The sequence below is a fragment of the Homo sapiens genome, chromosome 2 (genome assembly GCF_000001405.40).
Source record: "Homo sapiens chromosome 2, GRCh38.p14 Primary Assembly".
Lineage (NCBI taxonomy): Eukaryota > Metazoa > Chordata > Mammalia > Primates > Hominidae > Homo > Homo sapiens.
The window spans coordinates 73,286,155-73,304,553 of NC_000002.12; the positions used below are offsets into that span (position 1 = coordinate 73,286,155).

Below are 18,399 nucleotides of genomic sequence, written 5' to 3' on the forward strand. Positions count from 1 at the left end.
CTGTGAATGTGTCAAAACAATTTGGGACATGCATGGCTATGTATGTGGGTGCTTTTGTGCATGTGTGCATGAGTGTGTGGATGTGTGTGTGTATGCAGGTGTACACTTGTGCATATGCAAGTGTACATAGGTGCATGTGTGTATCTGTGAGCACATGCATGTATGTGTGGGTAAGAGTTCATGCATGTGTATTTGCACCTGTGTGCATGTGTGTGCGCATATGTCTGTGAATGTATGCATGTGTATTTGTGCGCCTGTGTGCCCATGCTACATTTCACAGACAACAGTTCCTGCTTGGTTGTTATGGGAACCACAGTTCTAAAAATGTTAAACTGAATCCCACTCCATGTGAACCAGAGAAACCAAAAGAGAGAGAGAGCTCAGTGACGGAGACACCTCTGGGGTCCCAGAGCTGAGGCAAAGAATTGTGGGCTCAGCAAGAGCTGGAAAGACCCAGACTAGCCAGAGGTGTAGACCCACTCATGAGGCCTATGGTGCCTATCAGGGCCCCTTGCTGCAGACTCGGTCCTCAGTCCTGCTTTTTCCCATCTTTCCCTCCTGATCCTTTCTCCTCCCTCTCTCTTTGCCAGCTTCATGCTCTCCAACCACCTTCCTTCCCTCCTCCTTCCCCTTTCTGTTTCCCTTCTCCTTTTGGGTTTTTTTTGTTGTTGTTGTTCAACTAATTGACACAATAATTAAGCACTTTCATGTTAGACTTGGTGATATGGGGACCACACATGTGGATCAAATGAGGTTTCTGCCCTTGAAGGTGCTCAAAGGTGGGAGCATTTGGATAACTGGTGGGGGAAGGGAGGTGGCAGAGCAAAGCACAAAGGGAGAGATGACAGAGGAGGTTGGAAGGTGAATTTGGATCAGATATAGAGGGCTTTCACAGCAAGGGTGAAAAATAGGTATTGTTTTTATAGGAGGGTGGAAACCTTGGTCAGTTTGGGATGAAGCTCTTGTTTGTTGTGAATGGTGTATTAGGAAATTTTCATCATTAATGCTGGGCAATGTGGAATGAAAGAGGCATAATGGAGGCAGAGGGACCACAGGACGCAGTTTGGCATAGTGTAGGCTTGTCTCAAATAGGGTACAGGAGTTGGGGTGAAGAGGGAGAAAATAGCAAACATTCTGGGTTGCTTTCTCAAACTTCCCCCCCATATCCCACCTCATCAAGATTTGTATTACTTTTTCCCACCTTTCTGGTGTGAGAATCAGGACTTGAGTGAGCCTCTGTTACTGATGTGTGTGTCGAATTTCTCAGGTGCCCCAGGAAGTAAAATAGTTGGGAATCACTGGCCCAGCATGTAGTAGCACTCAGTATCTGTGGAGTGAGTGGATATTTAGATATGCACTGGTCTTGGAACTGGAAGGCCCAGGTTCAAGGCCCATTTCATTCTCTTATTATCTGTGTGCCCTTCAGAAAATCCCCAACATCTTGGGCTTCAGTATTCTCTTCTATAGAGTGTGGGTTTGGACAGGATGTTCTTTTTAAAAAAATACTTAAAAAAATAGAGACAGAGTTTTGCCATGTTGCCCAGGCTGGTCTTGAACTCCTGGACTCAAGCCACCTACCCGCCTTGGCCTTCCAAAGTACTGGGATTACAGGCGTAAGCCACCATTCCTGGCCTGGACAGGATGTTCTTACAAACTCCTTCCAACTGCAACGCTATTATGTGATTCTATGAAATTGACATAGCCAAGGTATGTGTGTATATGGAGGGAGTGGCATGGACTAAGGTGCTGGCAATAGGCACAGAGAGGATAAATGTGGGAAATATTTTAATAGAAGAATTAATATCATCTGGCTTCAGTTTTCAACAACATTGTTGACTAGATAGCCCAAAGACTCTCTTGCTACAAAATATGTGGATTGCTTCATAAAATGTAACAGACATCTCCTGAAATGCTTGGCTGAGCTTGCAAGAAAGGGAAAAAAATCTACATGGACCAAAATAGGGGGACTGAGACCAAGAAATATAAGCATGAGATGTGCTGTGACTAACCCCAGAAGGTATGGGAAGGGAGGCATATTGCTTGTTTGTCCTGACCTGGATCCTGGTTAGAGAAGTGGGAACTGTCTCTGAGAATTTATAACTACTTGAGTTGGACTTTGAACTCAAAACATCTGCATGTTACAAGAACCTCAAACCAAGAAATTAACAAAAGATTGGTCTCCATCAGGTGATACTCTTGGAGTGTCTGGTAGAAGCAAACAGGAAACTGCTCAGGAGAAACATACCATCACCCAAGGCCACAGAGTATTGCTGCCCAAGTAAATCCCCACTGAAGTTGAGCTCACAAGCTAAAGATTATAATACGTAACCTGGAACAATGTACCGTGAATGAGAGTAGAGAAGACCCTGAAGAATTACAATAAGATTCAACAAGTCTAAGTGACAGCCTGGATGTGTGGGGTGGGAAGAAGCAAAAGTGAATCCCACAGAGCTGTAGTTACTTAGATGAATCCAGGGAATCAAATAATGTTGCTATTACCAGAAATATGGAAGGGTGATTTGATTTTAGACAGACTGTATTTGGAATGGTGGTGGGACATCCATATGGGGGTATTCATTAGAACCATGGGGCTGTCTGACTTAGAAGCCATCTACGTAGGAATAATAGCTGAAGGCCTGGCAATGAATGCACTCTGTAAGGAAAGTGTTGAAATAGGAAAGAAGAGAGCTAAGAACTGGTCCAGGAAAACACTCATGTTTTGAGGACCAGTTGAAAAAGAGGAGCAAATAAGGAAAATGAGCTCTTTGGTCTCCAATTCTGGTTGGGTCCTGGGTTTGGATTTTCACATTGTTTGGTTTTAATTCTTTCCATCTCTAGTCTAATATTCTCATCCCTCACAATCCCTAGGGGAAGCTCCAATAAATGGGAGCAGTGTCCCTTGGGACATAGCAGGAACTTCTCAGCTAGGAGTTATAGAGCCAGACTGGGCTCTGGTACCAGGACTACTACTAAGTCACTTCTTTGGGGTTCAATTTTCTCATCAGTGATGTTAGGCCTAGGTGGGTGTGAGGATAAGAATAATAGAGCTGATGGCACTTGCTGGAATGCTGCTGGAGAGGGCAAGATAGGGGTGATCAGAGGCCAGCCACCCACTGTCTGCGTTTCCTCCTTTGTTCAGCTTGTGTGTTTTGGGACCAGTTGCTTGAAATATGGGCCATTATGCTTTTCTTGCCCTACTCTTCATGAAAAGTGAAGTCAGGTGGCCCATGCCTAATAAGTGAAAGGTGTGGTGACTTAAATAGTAAGACAATGAGGGTCATGATTATCTTGTGTCTCCATGAATCTACCACTTATCACAGTGCCTGACAGTCCACAATTTGAGCCTCTTCATTGGGTTAAACATTGCCCTCTGCAGGCTACTGTTCTAAAATGTTAATTCTCCTAGAAGAGGTAATATTAAATCCTTTACCACAAATTAGTTTCTTAGATACAAGATACTTGGCCACATGAAAGCACTTAAAACCTAGGGAGAGAAAAGGATGGAATTCTCTGAGTTGATCATTTTGTCTCTGGTCAGCTGGACTGTGGGGTGGAGGGTGAGCATATCTTAGAGTGAAGGAGTGAAGAAAGCAGCAAGAGTATCAGAAGCTGGTTTGATCTGGCATCATAGGGCTGTAAGGTCTCTTAATTCAAGAACAGCTCAGCTCAGAAGAGAAAACAATGAAGTCCTCAGACACAGGCCTTCTTTCTTCCTTATCAGAGAGGGGTCATTGGAGCAGAGAGATGGAGAGCACAGCGGCCTTTTTATGCTCCAAGGTCTGCCCAAGGTGGCCAGAAAGAGTGGAAAAGCTTTGGGTGGGGAGTTCAAAGAGTAAAAAGGGGCCACCTTCACCATTACAAGGTCATGCTTTCCTCATCACCCTCCTAGCCTTCCTCTGATCCCAAAGCCATGAAGAGTTCACTTGGAAGGACAGCTGGAGAAAAGTGGCTGTGGCAGGCGCATGGCTGAATGGTAAGTAGGCTGATGCCACCTGGAGAAGATCCTTTTTGTGGGAAGAGCAACTAAGGTGACCATCAGTCTCTGGCAAGTGCCTGCTCCCAGCTATATTCAGGTGTGCTCTAGCTAAATGCTGAGACCCTTTGGGTCCTGACATCATGTGACTCTTGAACAGATGCATAGATACTGTCTGGAGCCTCTGTGACACTGAACACTCTGGGCTTTCACAAACAGCACCAAAATACTGCAGCCTTTTGCTGTTGTCGCTACTGCCTGGAGCTCCCTCTAGCTGCCAAACCTGTTTCTCACCTTCTGGTAGGAAGCCTTTCCAATCAGTGCTATTAAGTTTAGGTGTCTCCATTCTGGGGTTGGAAAATGAGGGTTGGCTTTGAAGTTGGACAGATTTGTTTGACCTGTCTGTTCCTAGCCTGGGTTAACTACATTGTTCCAGCAAGCTATCTACATTGCTTCCACATCTTTGAAATGAGGTATATGCCTGCTTTATTTGGGAATGCGAGGATTAAGGAGAATAATATATACATAATGTTGAACACCTACGCCTTTTAACCACTTTGAAGTTCCAGAAACACCTCCAGCCCTTAGGTGAGCTGTGATTAAATTCGTTCATTAACCCAACACACATTTACTGAATGCCTACTCTGTGCCGCAGTTCCTGGCAGGTGTGCCTGACAGTGGGTGTGTAATATGTTCAGGGTCTGTATCCCATGAGCGTGGGGATCTCCTTTATCTTCTGGCACATATGGTCCTGGGGGAGAAGCTAAGGGGAAGGGTCAGGAGCTTACATGGCAGATTCAGTAAGCTTTTAGCACAATAATTTTAATTGCAAAAATAAACAGTTTTGTCAACTGCTTGAGAGTAGCGTCTGCTTTACAAAAATTAACAACAACAAAAGGAAAAAAAACCCAAAGCAAAACGTTACATCCAATGGCTGCTGGATAAGACACTGCTGTACAAAGTCCCGCGCGAGACCGCCTTGGCGCTGCCCCAGCCTGTCTCTGGGGGTTATAGAGGAAGGCGTGGGGCGTGTGCCAGTTACAAAAGACTGTCTTGAATCCCAGGGTAGTGCCTATTCACTGGGTGGTCTCAGAAGACTTCCCCCAAAGCGCGGCTGACAAGGGTGACAGCGCCTGGACCGCGGGAACTGTCCGCGGAGCTGGTGCTGAATAGGGCGTGTGCGGCGGGCGCTTCAAGGAAACTGGAAGCGGGACCGGAGGCCGGCCCTCGGGCGTGCGAGGAGGAGTTGGAAGAAGAGCGGGGAGGGGAACGGCCCGGAACTCGTGCGCGCCGAACGGCGGCGCCCCAACCCATAAACCCATCTCTTGCTCAGAGAGAAGCGAAGGAGAGGCCCAGCGAGTAAAAGCCGAGGCCCTTGAGCCGCTCCTCGGCGCGCGCCTTCTGCTTGAGGTGCACCTTGCTGTGCCGTTTCTTCTCATCGCTGCGCGCGAAGCGGCGGCCGCACACGTCGCAAGCAAAAGGCTTCTCGCCGGTGTGGGTGCGCACGTGCGTGGTGAGGTGGTCGCTGCGGCTGAAGTTGCGGAGGCAGATGCGGCACTGGAAGGGTTTGTGGCCCGTGTGGATGCGCAGGTGGCGATTGAGCTCGTCGGAGCGCGCAAAGCTCCGCACACAACTCTCCACCGGGCAAGCGAAGGCCTTGGCGTGCGGCCGCGGGCAGAAGCAGCGCGTGCTGCATTTGCCGCCGCGGCGCCCCTTGCGTCGCGCCTTGGCCTGGGGGAAAGGGGTGGGCGGCGGCGGCGGCACGGGTGGTGCAGCCACGCCACTGCTTCCAGGGATGTCCGCCACCAGAGGTTTAGGGAAGTCCGCCGCGGCGGCGCTGCGAAGGCCCAGCGGGGAAAGCTGAGGCTGCGTACTGGCCAGAAACTCTCCGCCGTCGCCGCTACTCCCTCCCTCCCCACTAGGAGGGGTCAGGAGCCCAGGGAGGCCCTCAGCCCCCTCCCCTAAGTCACCCGGGGCCAGCGGGAAAGCGTCATAGGCCCCGCTGGGATAGAGTCTGTTGGCTGGGACGGCCGGCAGTTCCGCAGGGCAGCTGATGGACAGCAAGTCCTCAATCTTGGTCCCTATTACGGGAAAACGAGCCTCCGGGGCGGCCTGGTAGTCTCCCTGTGACCCACAGTTCCCTGGGGCCCCCACAGAAAGCAGCTCCCAGGGCGCGTAGGGACCCTTGAAGGCAGAGACAGCGTCCAGCGCTGGCGAGGCGGGAGGCGCCCGGAGGCCGGGCTTGACGTCGGGCGGGGAGAGCTGAGGCTCATACAGGCACTGCGAGGGGGCACCCGCGCAAGGCGAGGCCTCCCAGAACGCCTCTGGGAAAGGGGCAGCGCCCAGATCCGGGGAGTAAAGGTCCGGCGGACCCGGCAGCAAGGCATCGGACCCCGCAGGAAAAGGGGCATCCAGCGGGGATCTGGACGCTGCTGCCTCTGGACCGGGGAAGGGTGCCAGGCCTAAGATGCCCGACATGAGGTTGAAGAGTGCCTCCGGGTCGTGCGGGTGTTCGGGCACTGCCTGAATGAAGAAGCTACCGCTGTAGCTGAGGCCGGGAGGGGGTGTGGGCGCAGGCCCCTCCAGGAAGCAGGAGTCGGCTAAGTCCCCACTTGCGCCGCAGCTGTTCAAAGCCCAGCTCAAGAAGTCGCCTGCTGAGGAGGGAGCAGGAATCAGCTCTGGGCACATCAAAGGGTGCACCTGAGTCCACAGCCCCTACCTACAAAACTCTTGGTGCCCACGGATATACACAAAGTGCCTTTTGCACATTCTGATTCAGCAGGGGCCCGCATACGTCCCAAGGAGCACATAGAAACATGCACACGCAAAACACACGTGCACAGGCAAAAGGGCGCTCCGATAACCGCACAGGTTCCTGCGGAGGCGCTGGCGGCCCAGTGTGGGTGGGAATGGGGGTGCGCACCCCAGGACTCCTAAGCTTCCCATCGCCCCTATTCTCATAGCTCCAATGTCCCAGTCCCTCCTGGTTCTCAGGTATGGTGCGCCCCCGCGCTGCGCCGTCGTCGTCTGAGCACCCCTGCTCGCCCTCCTTACCTCCAGGGTAGCCGGTGGCCGCGGGAGCGTCCCTGGCAGGCAGCCGGGGCAATTCAGCGCTGGGTTCGGCGCAACAGCCTTCAGTGGACTTGACGAGGAGCGCGTCGGGTTCGGAAAACTCGCTAAGGTGGAGCATGGCGCGGCGCCGGCTGTGGGGCGCCCGGGGCCTCGCCCGCTGGGCTTGGGGGCGCGCGGGTGGCGGGGAGGCTGGCGGTAGGGGTTCCCCGCAGCGCACAGACCTAGGCGCCCGGGCTCCTGGCTTCGGGCACTCACCTCTGGGAAAGGAGTCGGGGAGCCGCGGCGCCCTCGCTCGCCCGCACCGGCCTCGGGCGGCGGCTCCTCGCCTCTCCAAAGCGCTGCCGGGCTCCCCCAGCCCACAGCCCCCCCACTTATATAGCTGCGGCGGCGCTGGCTCCGGGCTTCCGACTCCCCGGGCCACTGCCATTTTGGGAGGCCCCGGCCCTGCCGCCGTGACGTAAATGCCCAAACATGGACACAGGATGTGTGCCGGGGACTCCCGAAAAGGAAAGCTCGAGCTGTGACGTTGTTGTTGTCGCCGCCGCCGCCAGGCTCGCGCCGCTGCGTGCGCGCGCGCTCCCCAGGCGTGGAGCGCTGGGGCCGCGGATGCGCCAGTCTGGGGCGCTGCGCCTCACCGGGCCGACCGTCCGGTAGATGCGCTTCCCACCTGGAGGCAGAGGCCGAGGGGCAGCAGGGGAGGACCGTGTTGGGTTTGAATCTGCCCTCTGCCACTAACTAGCTTGACACTCAGTCCCCCTTAACGTCAGTTTCTCACCTGTGCATTTCCTGTGGAGAGAAACTGAGAGCACATAAATGTCCAGGCGCACTCAGTAAACCACAGAGATTATTGCCATTCATTTCTTTTGCTCACGCCTGTGTGTTTTTCCATTTTAAGTTTTTTTTTTTTAAATTTGTGCTAGGAAAAATAATTTAAATTAAAAAGGACTGTAATACTTGTTAACAGTAGGAGGAAAGTCAACTAGCACAACAGGGTATATTCTAAATTGAAAAGTAAAAGTCCCTCCTCTCCACCTACCTTCATTCCTAGCTCCTGAGGTAGCCACATTTAAGTTTCTTGGGTATTCTTTCAGAAGAATTTTATGTATATCCAACCATACACATTGTTCTGCAATATTATTATTATTATTATTTTTTCACTTGAAATAACTTAGAGATTGTGCCATGTCCTGACATAAAGATCTTGTCATTCTTTTTCAAGGCTGTATAGTACTCCATTGTAAGGGAGGACCTTGAGTTAGTCGATTTGTCCCCTATCCATGAGCATGTAGGCAGTTTCCAACTTTTTACTTATACCAATGTTGTTGGAGTCAACATCCTTGACTATATAAATGTGAATGTGTCTGTGAGATAAATTCCAACGAGTGTAATTGTGTGCCAAAGTATATGTAAAATTTTGATAGACAACTGGCAAATTGTCTTCCAGAAAAGTAGGGCCAATTCCTGCTCACTCCTCCCTCACCCACAGGGTATGAGATGCTTCTGCAGAACATTTTTTCTGCCTTCATACAAATGGCTTTCGCTCTAAGGATGTTGATCCCAGCAACACACAGGGAATCCGTGGGAAATATCTCCCTGGAATCAGTACTTGAAATAATTGGGCTTCTTTTGAGAAAAAAAAAAAAAATCCTAGCCTTAAGGAGGCTGTGAATCTTGGCTGCAGAAGCATCAGAGCCAACTCCAGCAAAGAAGCTTGCCTACTCTCCTAGTCTCATCTCTCTTCTGCTGTGGTTTTCCCTCTGTCTCATTCTCTCATTCTTTTTAAAATGTTTATTTTATTTTGTATTATAGCTCACTTAACTCCTTTCTGGAACCAAATTAAATAAATACATGGGGGGGAAGGATTAAATAAATACATGGAATAGCATGTTCTTCTTTATGAAGAGCATCAATTCCTGAGACTCTGTGTGCTGGAGGGTAAGGTGGGCAGGTTTAGGGCTCCTCCTTCCTTCTCTCCTTTTTTGAAATAGAAACAAAGCCCTTTGGGGGTGGTGGACTCAGCATCATGGGCAGTATAGCTCCCAGCCTCTCTTCCACCCCTGTACCCTCTTTTTCAAGAGAGAGAGAGAGAGCCCAAGAATGCCCAAACCCCACCACATTCTCAGTCCTTTCACCCTATGTCCATTATCCAAACATCCATTCAGTTTCTCAATGTTCATTCATTCAGTATTCATTTCTTAAGTGCCTATTACAGGCCAGAAGGTAGACTTTGGTTTTATGTCTGCTGGGACCCTGAGCCCCATCTCCAGCACTAGGTGCCCACTCCTCATCCCACAGTGACCTTATTAAGTGTTTTCACAGAATATGTCCCTTCACACAATCACCTGCAAAACATATGCTGACACACTTGTATGCATCTTCTCCTGAAGTCCACAAATCATATAAAGGTTCTCACAGGGTCATGCACTTGCAGTGTGTCTTACTAAATGGCTACACCTATGGTTCTGTGTTAGTAGCACATATATGAGCATGTAGGAAATGCAGAAACCCAGCAGATGTCTGTAAAGATTGGACACACCAAGCACGATTTTCCTTATACTCTATTTCAGATCCAGGGTTTGATTCTAATCCAAATGCATTGCCAAGGCCAGGTGAGCCCACACCAGACACACAGGGCACACATGTCTCAAATCCACTCTGGCATCCTACTGCCTGAGAGGGAGGAGGAGGGGAGGAGTTTGACTGGGCTGGTGTCCAGGTCTCCCCAGGTCGCCCCGTCGGGCCAGATTGGTCAGCCCCAGGTTGCCCATCCCTTCTGCTGTTCTTCCCTCTGCCACAGCATTCCTCCTCCTTCTTAGTCACAGATAATTCCCCTACTCTCTTGGTGAGTTGCCAAGCCATTGCTTCTCTCTGCCAAGGGCTGTTGGACTAGGTCTGTGTTAGGACAAGGGTCCAAGTCACCAAAGTTTCTTGTGTTAGAGGCCAGACCTGGGGGCAGGGCTCGGGGGTGGGTAGGAGTGATTAGGAAAGGAGATAGGGAAGAGACAGCTTGTGCTCTGGGTGTGGGATGGCTCACACCCCCATGTCTATGCTACTTACCTCCAATGGACACACATACACACACTCACAGGCACAGAGGATGGCTACCTCTGGAGGGCAATTTGCATCTGCCTTTGGCTCTCTGAAGACTGGGAGGGAATATAAAGGGGGCTGAGCATTTTGTAGTTCTTCCCAGCTCGTCCCTTCTTCTCCCTACGTTTTAACAGCTTACAAAGAGATTCTGGGCCCAGATAAAATAAAAGTCTTTGGGAAGGGAAGGAAGAGAGAAGAGCTTAGATCTATGAGCTCCATTTAAATCACACTTCAAATATAAAAACACAAATGTACACAAGGGAAAAAAGGGAAATCACATACATTGAGCATTTTACAAATATTTTATCATTCAATCTCCACAAAAGTTCTATGGAGTAAGGAATTGGAGACCAATTTCACAGATGAGGAAACAGATTCAAAAAGGTCAAATGACGTGATCGACACCACACTTCTAGTCAGTGGTAGAGCTGAGAGTCAAGTCCAGGCTAGCCTACTCTATAAGACAATTTAGGAAAAGATAATTAATTTTACAAAAGGATTCACTGTTGGATGGCTTTAGATGGAGGATCTCCCTGTAGCTTTCAAATAGGATGTGATGTGCAAACTTGAGCTGGCTGGTGCCCATCCCTGCAAGAATTCCCTGGAGTGATGGCCATGGATAGGAAAACAGTGGGTCACAACTAGTGCTGAGAAGTAGCACATATAAGGTTCTTTGGAGCTGTTGTGTAAGTTGGTGTGTGTGTGTGTGTGTGTGTGTGTGTATGTGTGATCTTGGGGAAGGTGAGAGCGAATTTTCTATTTCCATGGGAAAAGGTGCAAAGGAGAATCACTTTCTAGACAAGCACTGAACAAACATTTGCTGAATGAATTAATGAATGAAGAAATTCATTCATCAAATATTCATTGAGCACAGCCCAGTGCCAGGTGCTGGGTTGGCCCTTCAGATGCTGATGCTGCAGTGCATGAGACTGGAAGCTTTGAATCCAGGGAAGGAGGTGGGGAGGGGCAGAGGGAGGGTAGAGGCAGCCTCCCTGCTCTCTCTTCTGGGGAGGGCTCAGCCCCTGTCATAGTTCTGGTTATGCTACTGCTCCCTCCTCCACACCCTACCTTGATCTTTCTGCTCTAAATATCATTGTGTTCAAATAATAGTGTGTGTATTTTAAAAGACTCCAAGAAGACAGCTGCCTGGGAGTATTAATCATGAAGAGGCCAGCACTCTGTCTCCATGGCGACTCCTGACAGCGAGAGCTGAGGAACAGTTCCATGTCCCACTTCCTGGGGCCATGGAGATGCAGGGGCACTGCATCTCTCACTCCTCTTTCCTCTCTGCTTCTTTCTTCTCCTTCCTTTCCTCTCCTCTCTTCTCTCCTACCCCTTCCCTCCACTCCCTCTTTTTTTTTTCTTCCTAAAGGATTTATTTAAAAGCAGGGACAGAGGCAGGGCCAGCCATCAGAGTAACAAAAAACATGGCTAATGAAGCCGCAGCAGAGATGAAGTCTGCATCCAGTTGCAGCATCTGCAGTGCCCAACTCCACTCCCAAGACCTCTGCAGTGCCCCCGGGCTTCCACAGCCAGTAGGGCAGAAGTAGTGTGATCATCGGCCCCTGAGGCAAGAGGCCAACTGTCAGGGTCCTTCTCCGTCTCTTTTCTCTTCCCTGCTCATGGCCCATCATTAGTTTGTGGTTTGGGTCATTATTATGATTATGAGTATGGCTATTATTTTTAATGCCCACAAAAGTAACAGGCTTATTGAAAAAAACAAATGTTAAAAATTATAATGCAAAGAACGAGAATACCTTTCACTATCCTGTACACACACACACGAACACGTTTTAGGTTGATTCCTATAGATTTTTTTCATGCATATTCATGCAACATCCATTTAGTCAACATCCATTTAGTCAACAATCACATTATTATCATCATTCTTATTTACATCATTTTCATACTATACGTACTCTTGTAACTAATTAACACTGTACCTTGTTTTTTTTAAAATTTTTTCCATAATGATACCCATCTACAGTGTTGATCTATAGTGTTGGTAACAGTTTCACCAGCATATTTCATTGTGTAGATGAATATAATTTTTTAACTTTATAGTTTCCTGTCTTTCACTATTATAAAGGATCTGGCTATATATGGTCTTTTATGTATACGTGGTGCATTGATGGGGTAATAATACTACAGTATTCTAGCTAACATTTGCACGTTATTTACTATGGGCACTATCTGACAGGTAGTGAGAGCTTTACCTATACTCATCATTTAATCCTCACCACAACCTGATTAGTATTATTATCTCTGTTTTACAGATGGAGAAATTGAGCATGGAACACTAAGAAATTTGCCCAAGCTTACCAGGTTAGTGATGATGCCGGGATCTGAACTCATACTATAGCCATAGGCTAGATTACAAAAAGTGAAATTTCATGCTCACTTCAGCAGCACATATACTAAAATTGGAATGATACAGGGAAGATTAGTATGGTCCTTAAAAAAAGTGAAATTTTTTAGGACAAATAGAACTGGTTTTAGGACAAAGGTACAAACACTTAAAATTATATATATTGTTAAATATTTCTCTAAAAAGATTGTTCCAATCTCTGGGCCAACTAGCAGTATATGAGGACCAACTGGTAAGCAGAAAGAGGCATCCCAGTGATATTTTAATTTTTATTGTAAAAATTATCAGTAAGGATGAGAATCTTTTCACAGGGCCTTAGTATTTCCTTTTCCGTGATATAGAGGCTTAATACCTCACCCAAATACTTTTTTTTTTTTTTTTTGAAATGCAGTTTCACTTTTGTTGCCCAGGCTGGAGTGCAATGGTGTGATCTTGGCTCACCGCAACCTCTGCCTCCCAGGTTCAAGTGATTCTCCTGCCTTAGCCTCCCAAGTAGCTGGGGTTACAGGCATGCACCACCATGCCCTGCTAATTTTGTATTTTTAGTAGAGATGGGGTTTCTCCATGTTGGTCAGGCTGGTCTTGAACTCCTGACCTGAGTGACCCACGTACCTTTGGCCTCCTCACCCAAAGACTTTTTTTGAGTGGAAGCCTTCCTTATGCTCCTCACATCCCTGTAGTGGGCACTGAAAGTGAGGCTGCTCTGCTGTGGCATAGACTGGGAGGACTAGGTGGGGACAGGTACATAGGGGGCTTATGTACCCTCTTTACTTTTGTTCTTTCTATTTTGAATTCTTTCTATTTTTATTTACTCATTTTTTGTAGAGATGGGGTCTCTCTGTTGCCCAGGCTGGTTTCTAACTCCTGGGCTCAAGTGATTCTCCCACCATGAATTCCCAAAGCGCTAGGATTACAGGTGTGAGCCAGCACACCGGGCCTGTTCTTTCTCTTTTGGATCATGGGGAGAGGTGGCAAGGAGAACAAGGTGGCTGCATGCCATTAGGAAAAGTGGATTCTTCCAAGGTGGCTTGGCTTCTGAGCTGTTCTCCTACAGGAGAGAGGGAGGTTATTCTTTCTCTCATCTTCCATTCTATAGCCTTCCTTTGGCAACACTGGACAGAGCCGAGAGGTAGATGATCACAGAAGAGGCGTGACTAGGGTGGGTTCTAGGAGGGTCAGAGGTAGGTGGACGGTTACAGTGACTTCACACTGCTACTGCCCTGTGATTTGGAATCGGCCTCCCATCAGCCCTTTGGATCTAAGCCTGGTTATCCCTTTGTGGGTAATAACGGACTTGGATCTTGTTAAATGTTTTTATTTGATTAAGTAATGGTGTTCAGAGCACTAATTTCCAATTCATGTGTTAAGAAGTTAAAAAGGAGGATTAGTGAGCAGACGGAGAGACCTATAGCTCTAGAACAGAAATGGAATTAGAAACAAGCCTTCTTAACCTATCTATCTGGCATGTTTCTCTCTCTCTGGCCTCCTTCTATTTTCACTTATCTGAGCTCATCTCACTGTCTTTTCACCGTCTCTCCTCCCCCATCTTGCCATAGTTTTCTTTAAACCTCTTTGATGTAGATTGGTCATCGTACTGAGATTGGACAATATAACTCTGAAATGCCCAGGCAATTTATCCACAGCTAGGTCTGTTGAGCCATAGCCTGGGTCCTCTGTGTGTCCTTGAATCCTGTCCATCATCATCAGGCTGGGCTTCTGGTTGCAAATGACAGAAATGCAACCTCAATTAGCTTAGAGAAGAACGAACGAAAGAAAGAAAGGAAGAAAAAGAAAGAAAGAAAGAAAGAGAGAAAGAAAGAAAAAGAAAGAAAGAAAAAAGAAAGAGAAAGAAAGAAAGAGGGGAGGAAAGAAGAAATTATCAGCATATCCAAGGGAATGGGGAATCCAAAAAAGTGTCAAACAACCAACCTGTGAGGGCATCAGGGACACACTGGGTGTCAGAGGCTAAGAGTTTTCAGAATGCTCTCAGCTCCTTTTTTTTTTTTCTCCCTGATAACTGAAAACCTGGCCTTTAGCAGACTGTGTGTTCTACACCTCAGCTTCTGTGATAAATGGATTCTCATTCCCAGTTACAGGTAGGGAATCCTAGAAAAGACCTCTCCTCTTCTCCTTAGGACAATTATATGGTTAGCAGGCAGGGTAATATCCGGTTGACACCACCACTAGGGTCTTGTGCTTGTGCTTTGAGGGCCAGGCCCAGAGAAGAGGAAATAACTGTGAGCCAGGAAGCCTCCCTTGTCCTTGAGGGCAAGAGCTGGGCAGCAATGAGCTCTGGCACGTTCTCATAACCAGGGGCAGAAATAGTTCCCTCTGCTTAACAATGCCCCTGGAGCAAGTCGCCTACTCCATCTGTCTGCCAGCTCCAAGGAACACTGCTCAAAATAAAAATCCCTAATTAGCAATTCCTTCAATCCAGAGCAAAACAATTTATTTGTTTCCTAGAATAATCTGGAGCCACATTTGGCTTGGCAACCAGTGGGTCCCACATGTTCATGCGGTGTGCCATGTGAAGACTTCAGCAGGGAGTTTTATTCAGTTAAGCATGAGGGGGAATGCCCTGGGGGTCACCTCCCCAGGCAGCAGCAAGTCAGGGCCTAGAATAGAACTGGTTTTATCAATGTTGTGCAGCAGGTTTCTGGTACAGGGTAGGTAGCGAAGGAAGAAAGTTCAACAGGATTTCTAAGCACCTGCTCTCACAAAGGCCAAACCGGTGATCCCTACATTTGGTAGGGACACATGGCCTGCAGGAGACATAGAGAATCTGACAATAGAGTAAAACCTCAAGCCAGGGAGTCAGAGGAACTGAGTCTGACCCAGTTCTGCCACTGGTTTGTTCTGTGACCTTGAACAAATTCGAAATACTTTCTGTGCTTGTGCATTCTCACCTGTGAAATGGGAGTATGTTACCTTCTCTACCTATAGTCTCAGGATTAAGAGTCAGAATTAACAAATTAAGTGGTGGTTGAAGCACAGGCACTTGCTACAAAAAAAAAAAAAAAAAAAAAAAAGGCGAGGTTAGAAACAATATATGCAGTTAAGAAATGATGAGTAATTCTTCCTACCCCAAATGTGTGCCCTGTGTTTTCTGGGCATCTATGTGTATGTGGGTGGAATTGGTCACTATGACATGAATTTCATGACTAGTTGTTTTCTTCCAATCCTTGCTCTCATTCATTCATTATTCATTCATCTAAATATTTGTTGAGGACTTAATACATCAGCCAGTTCAACAACTTATTACAGAAAGGTGTGATGCATGTGCCAGCGGGAGAAGGACCGGATGGTTTGAGATCATAGAAGGAAGCAGGAGGTCGTTAGCTCAACAAGATATTCAGGGAAGGCTTCCCCAAGGAAGTGACATTTGAATGGAGACTGGAAGGTTAAGTAAAAGTTAGCCAGAAAAAGGGAAAGGTTGAGTGGGGAGAATGTTCTGGGCAAAGGGGACAGCATATACAAAAGCCAGAAGGTGAGAGAAAAAAGACAAGGGAGGAGAAAAGGATTCAGGGAACTGGCGGAAGCCCATGATGGCTGGAGTGTGAGGAGGGAAAGAGGCTAGGAAGGGCAAGTGGGGTCAGGCTGGAGAAACTGGTGAGCTCAGGATCCTAGAAGACCTTTTAAGCAGGTTTAGGCATTTGGACTTTTTTTTTTTTTTCCCCCACCTATCTGATCACAAGCTTCTATGCATAGGCATTTGGACTTTTTTTTTTTTTTCCCCACCTATCTGATCACAAGCTTCTATGCATAGGCATTTGGACTTTATCCCTAGAGTAATACGATGCTATTGAAGAGATTTAAGCTGTACAGGCGATGCGATTTTTATCTTAGAATGACCAGCGTTCTAAGACCACCTTCCATGCTCTGATACAGCGTGGAAGGTGACCTGGAACGGGGATCAGTTAGGAGGCCACTGTGGCAAATCAACTGACAGTGGGCCCTCAGACGTGAACAGTGGGTGGCAACAGGAAAGGAGAAGCTTTCAGAGTCAGCAGCCATTTAGGAGCTCTTTTATAACACACACACAAGGGTGAATAGCTACCCTTGGGGCAAAAGAGAGAGGAAGGAGTCAAGGTTGACTCTTGGGTTCAGTTTTGACCATGGGTTAGTCGTTTTTTTTTTTTTCTTTTTCAAGACAGGCTCTCATGCTCTGTTGCCCAGACTGGAGTGCAGTGGCACGATCATGGCTCACTGCAGCCTCAACTTTCCCCAGCTCAGGCAATTCTCCCACCTCAGCCTCCCAAGTAGCTGGAACCACAGGCACGCACCACCACACCCCGCTAATTAAAAAATTTTTTTTTGTAAAGATGGGGCTCTCACTGTGTTGCCCCGGCTGGTCTTGAATTCCTGGGCTCAAGCAATTCTCCTGTCTCAGCCTCCCAAAGTGCTGAAATCACAGGCATGAGCCACCGTGCCTGGCCAGTGGTCATTTATTTAGGTGGAGAATCAGTAGGAGAAACAGAGTCTTCCTCTGACCCACTACGTTTTATTTATGGAGCTTTAATTTATATACAGTGAAAGGAGCAAATCTTAAGTGAATCTACCATTTGATGACTTTTTAACACAAATCAATATATAGAACATTTACATCCTCCAAAAAGTTCCCTTGTACCTTTTTCCAGTCAGTAGATACCCCCTCTTTCGGGTAACCATATTTCTCAGTATATCACTATAGATTAGTTTTGCCTACTCTTGAACTTCATATACATGGAATAATTCAGTACGTACTGTTTTGTGTCTGGCTTCTTTTGCTCAACATAATCTCTGTAAGATTTACCCACTCCATGTTTTTCATGCATCAGTATCAATTAATAAATGTTTTGTATGTATCAATCCTTTTTTCTCAGTCACTAACTTTCCATTGTTTAAATATACCAATTTGTTTATCCATTCTCCTACTGATGGAAGTAGATTGTTGTTGTTTAATTCTATGTTTGTTTTCAGGAGGTCAAAAGGAAGACAACTTAGAAATGAATGACAAGGCGATGACATAACAGTTATAAACCCTTATGACCTACTACATACCTTTAAAATATATCAATTTAAAGTGTGATTGATATATTTTATCACACTTCAAAGATGTCATTTACTTCAGCAAAAAAAACTTTAAAAAATTGAGTAATTACTAGTCATAAACTTAAGAATGTGCAATATGAATATGAAGAAAATGATAAAAATTTTTTCTGAAGGGCATTGAACAATAGACTAGGTGGGGACATATGTCTTATTGGATGGGAAGACTCAATATTATGAATATGTCAGTGTCAGTGTTGGTGGGTTCTCTGTGAAGCAGACATTGAGAGGGAAGGCTACAGGGAGTTTATTTGGGAGTTACACATGTGAGAGATAAAGGCAAGATTGGATAGAAGAGCCTCACACTGCAATGAGCATCTGACAGTCTCAGCCAACCCAGTGGCGAGTTCCAGAGCAAATAACCCATTAGAAGAATCCTGCATTGGGAAGAAGCGGCCAGTCTCTATGCCCTCTTTGCTCTCAGTCGTTGGTGAGAGGCCTAGCTGGAAAGAGCATGGTCTTGGCCTGAAAGCTAAGGTGAACCTGAAAGGTGCTAACAGCTGTAGGCTCATGGATAACTGCACTGCTTGCAGCTGAATGGCAAATCCTTTGTTGAAGGGAGACTTGAGTGGCCACACCTCCATAGCTGCCACAGTCAGTTCCCCAAATCAATCTGTAAGTTTCATGCAATTTCTGTAAAGATTCCAATAACATCTGTGGTTTTTTTGTGCAATTGGAGTGCAATTTGACAAATTAGTTCTAAAATATGTTTGGAAGAATAGGAAAAAATAATCAAGAGAATTTTGAAAATGATGTCTAAAGCTCTATCAAATATCAAAACCTATTAACATAATGTAGTGCTAGTGCA

General features: G+C 47.0%; 1 protein-coding gene and 1 pseudogene across 2 annotated transcripts, besides 2 other annotated features; one reads left to right on the plus strand and one right to left on the minus strand.

Moving 5' to 3' along the window:
• On the minus strand, positions 4,775–7,394 carry EGR4 (early growth response 4). Of its 2 annotated transcripts, none has more exons than XM_047443603.1 (2): positions 7,028–7,394; positions 4,775–6,624 (listed from the first exon to the last, which is right to left on the minus strand). In XM_047443603.1, the coding sequence occupies exons 1-2, from the start codon at positions 7,161–7,163 to the stop codon at positions 5,303–5,305; spliced, it is 1,458 nt and encodes a 485-aa protein (XP_047299559.1). In that variant the 5' UTR covers positions 7,164–7,394; the 3' UTR covers positions 4,775–5,302. The 2 variants fall into 2 exon arrangements, with proteins under 2 accessions (XP_047299559.1, NP_001956.4); NM_001965.4 differs by having other exon boundaries at positions 4,775–6,627.
• Positions 4,985–5,680: an enhancer, noted in NCBI's record as "H3K27ac-H3K4me1 hESC enhancer chr2:73518267-73518962 (GRCh37/hg19 assembly coordinates)". NCBI's record gives its function as "activates a minimal SCP1, AML or CMV promoter by ChIP-STARR-seq in naive H9 embryonic stem cells {active_cell/tissue: H9 hESC(naive)}" and the evidence as "EXISTENCE:reporter gene assay evidence [ECO:0000049][PMID:30033119]".
• Positions 7,677–7,756: a silencer, noted in NCBI's record as "silent region_11644". NCBI's record gives its function as "represses an Ori minimal core promoter by ATAC-STARR-seq in GM12878 lymphoblastoid cells {active_cell/tissue: GM12878}" and the evidence as "EXISTENCE:reporter gene assay evidence [ECO:0000049][PMID:35858748]".
• RNU6-111P (RNA, U6 small nuclear 111, pseudogene) lies at positions 12,529–12,633 on the plus strand (annotated as a pseudogene).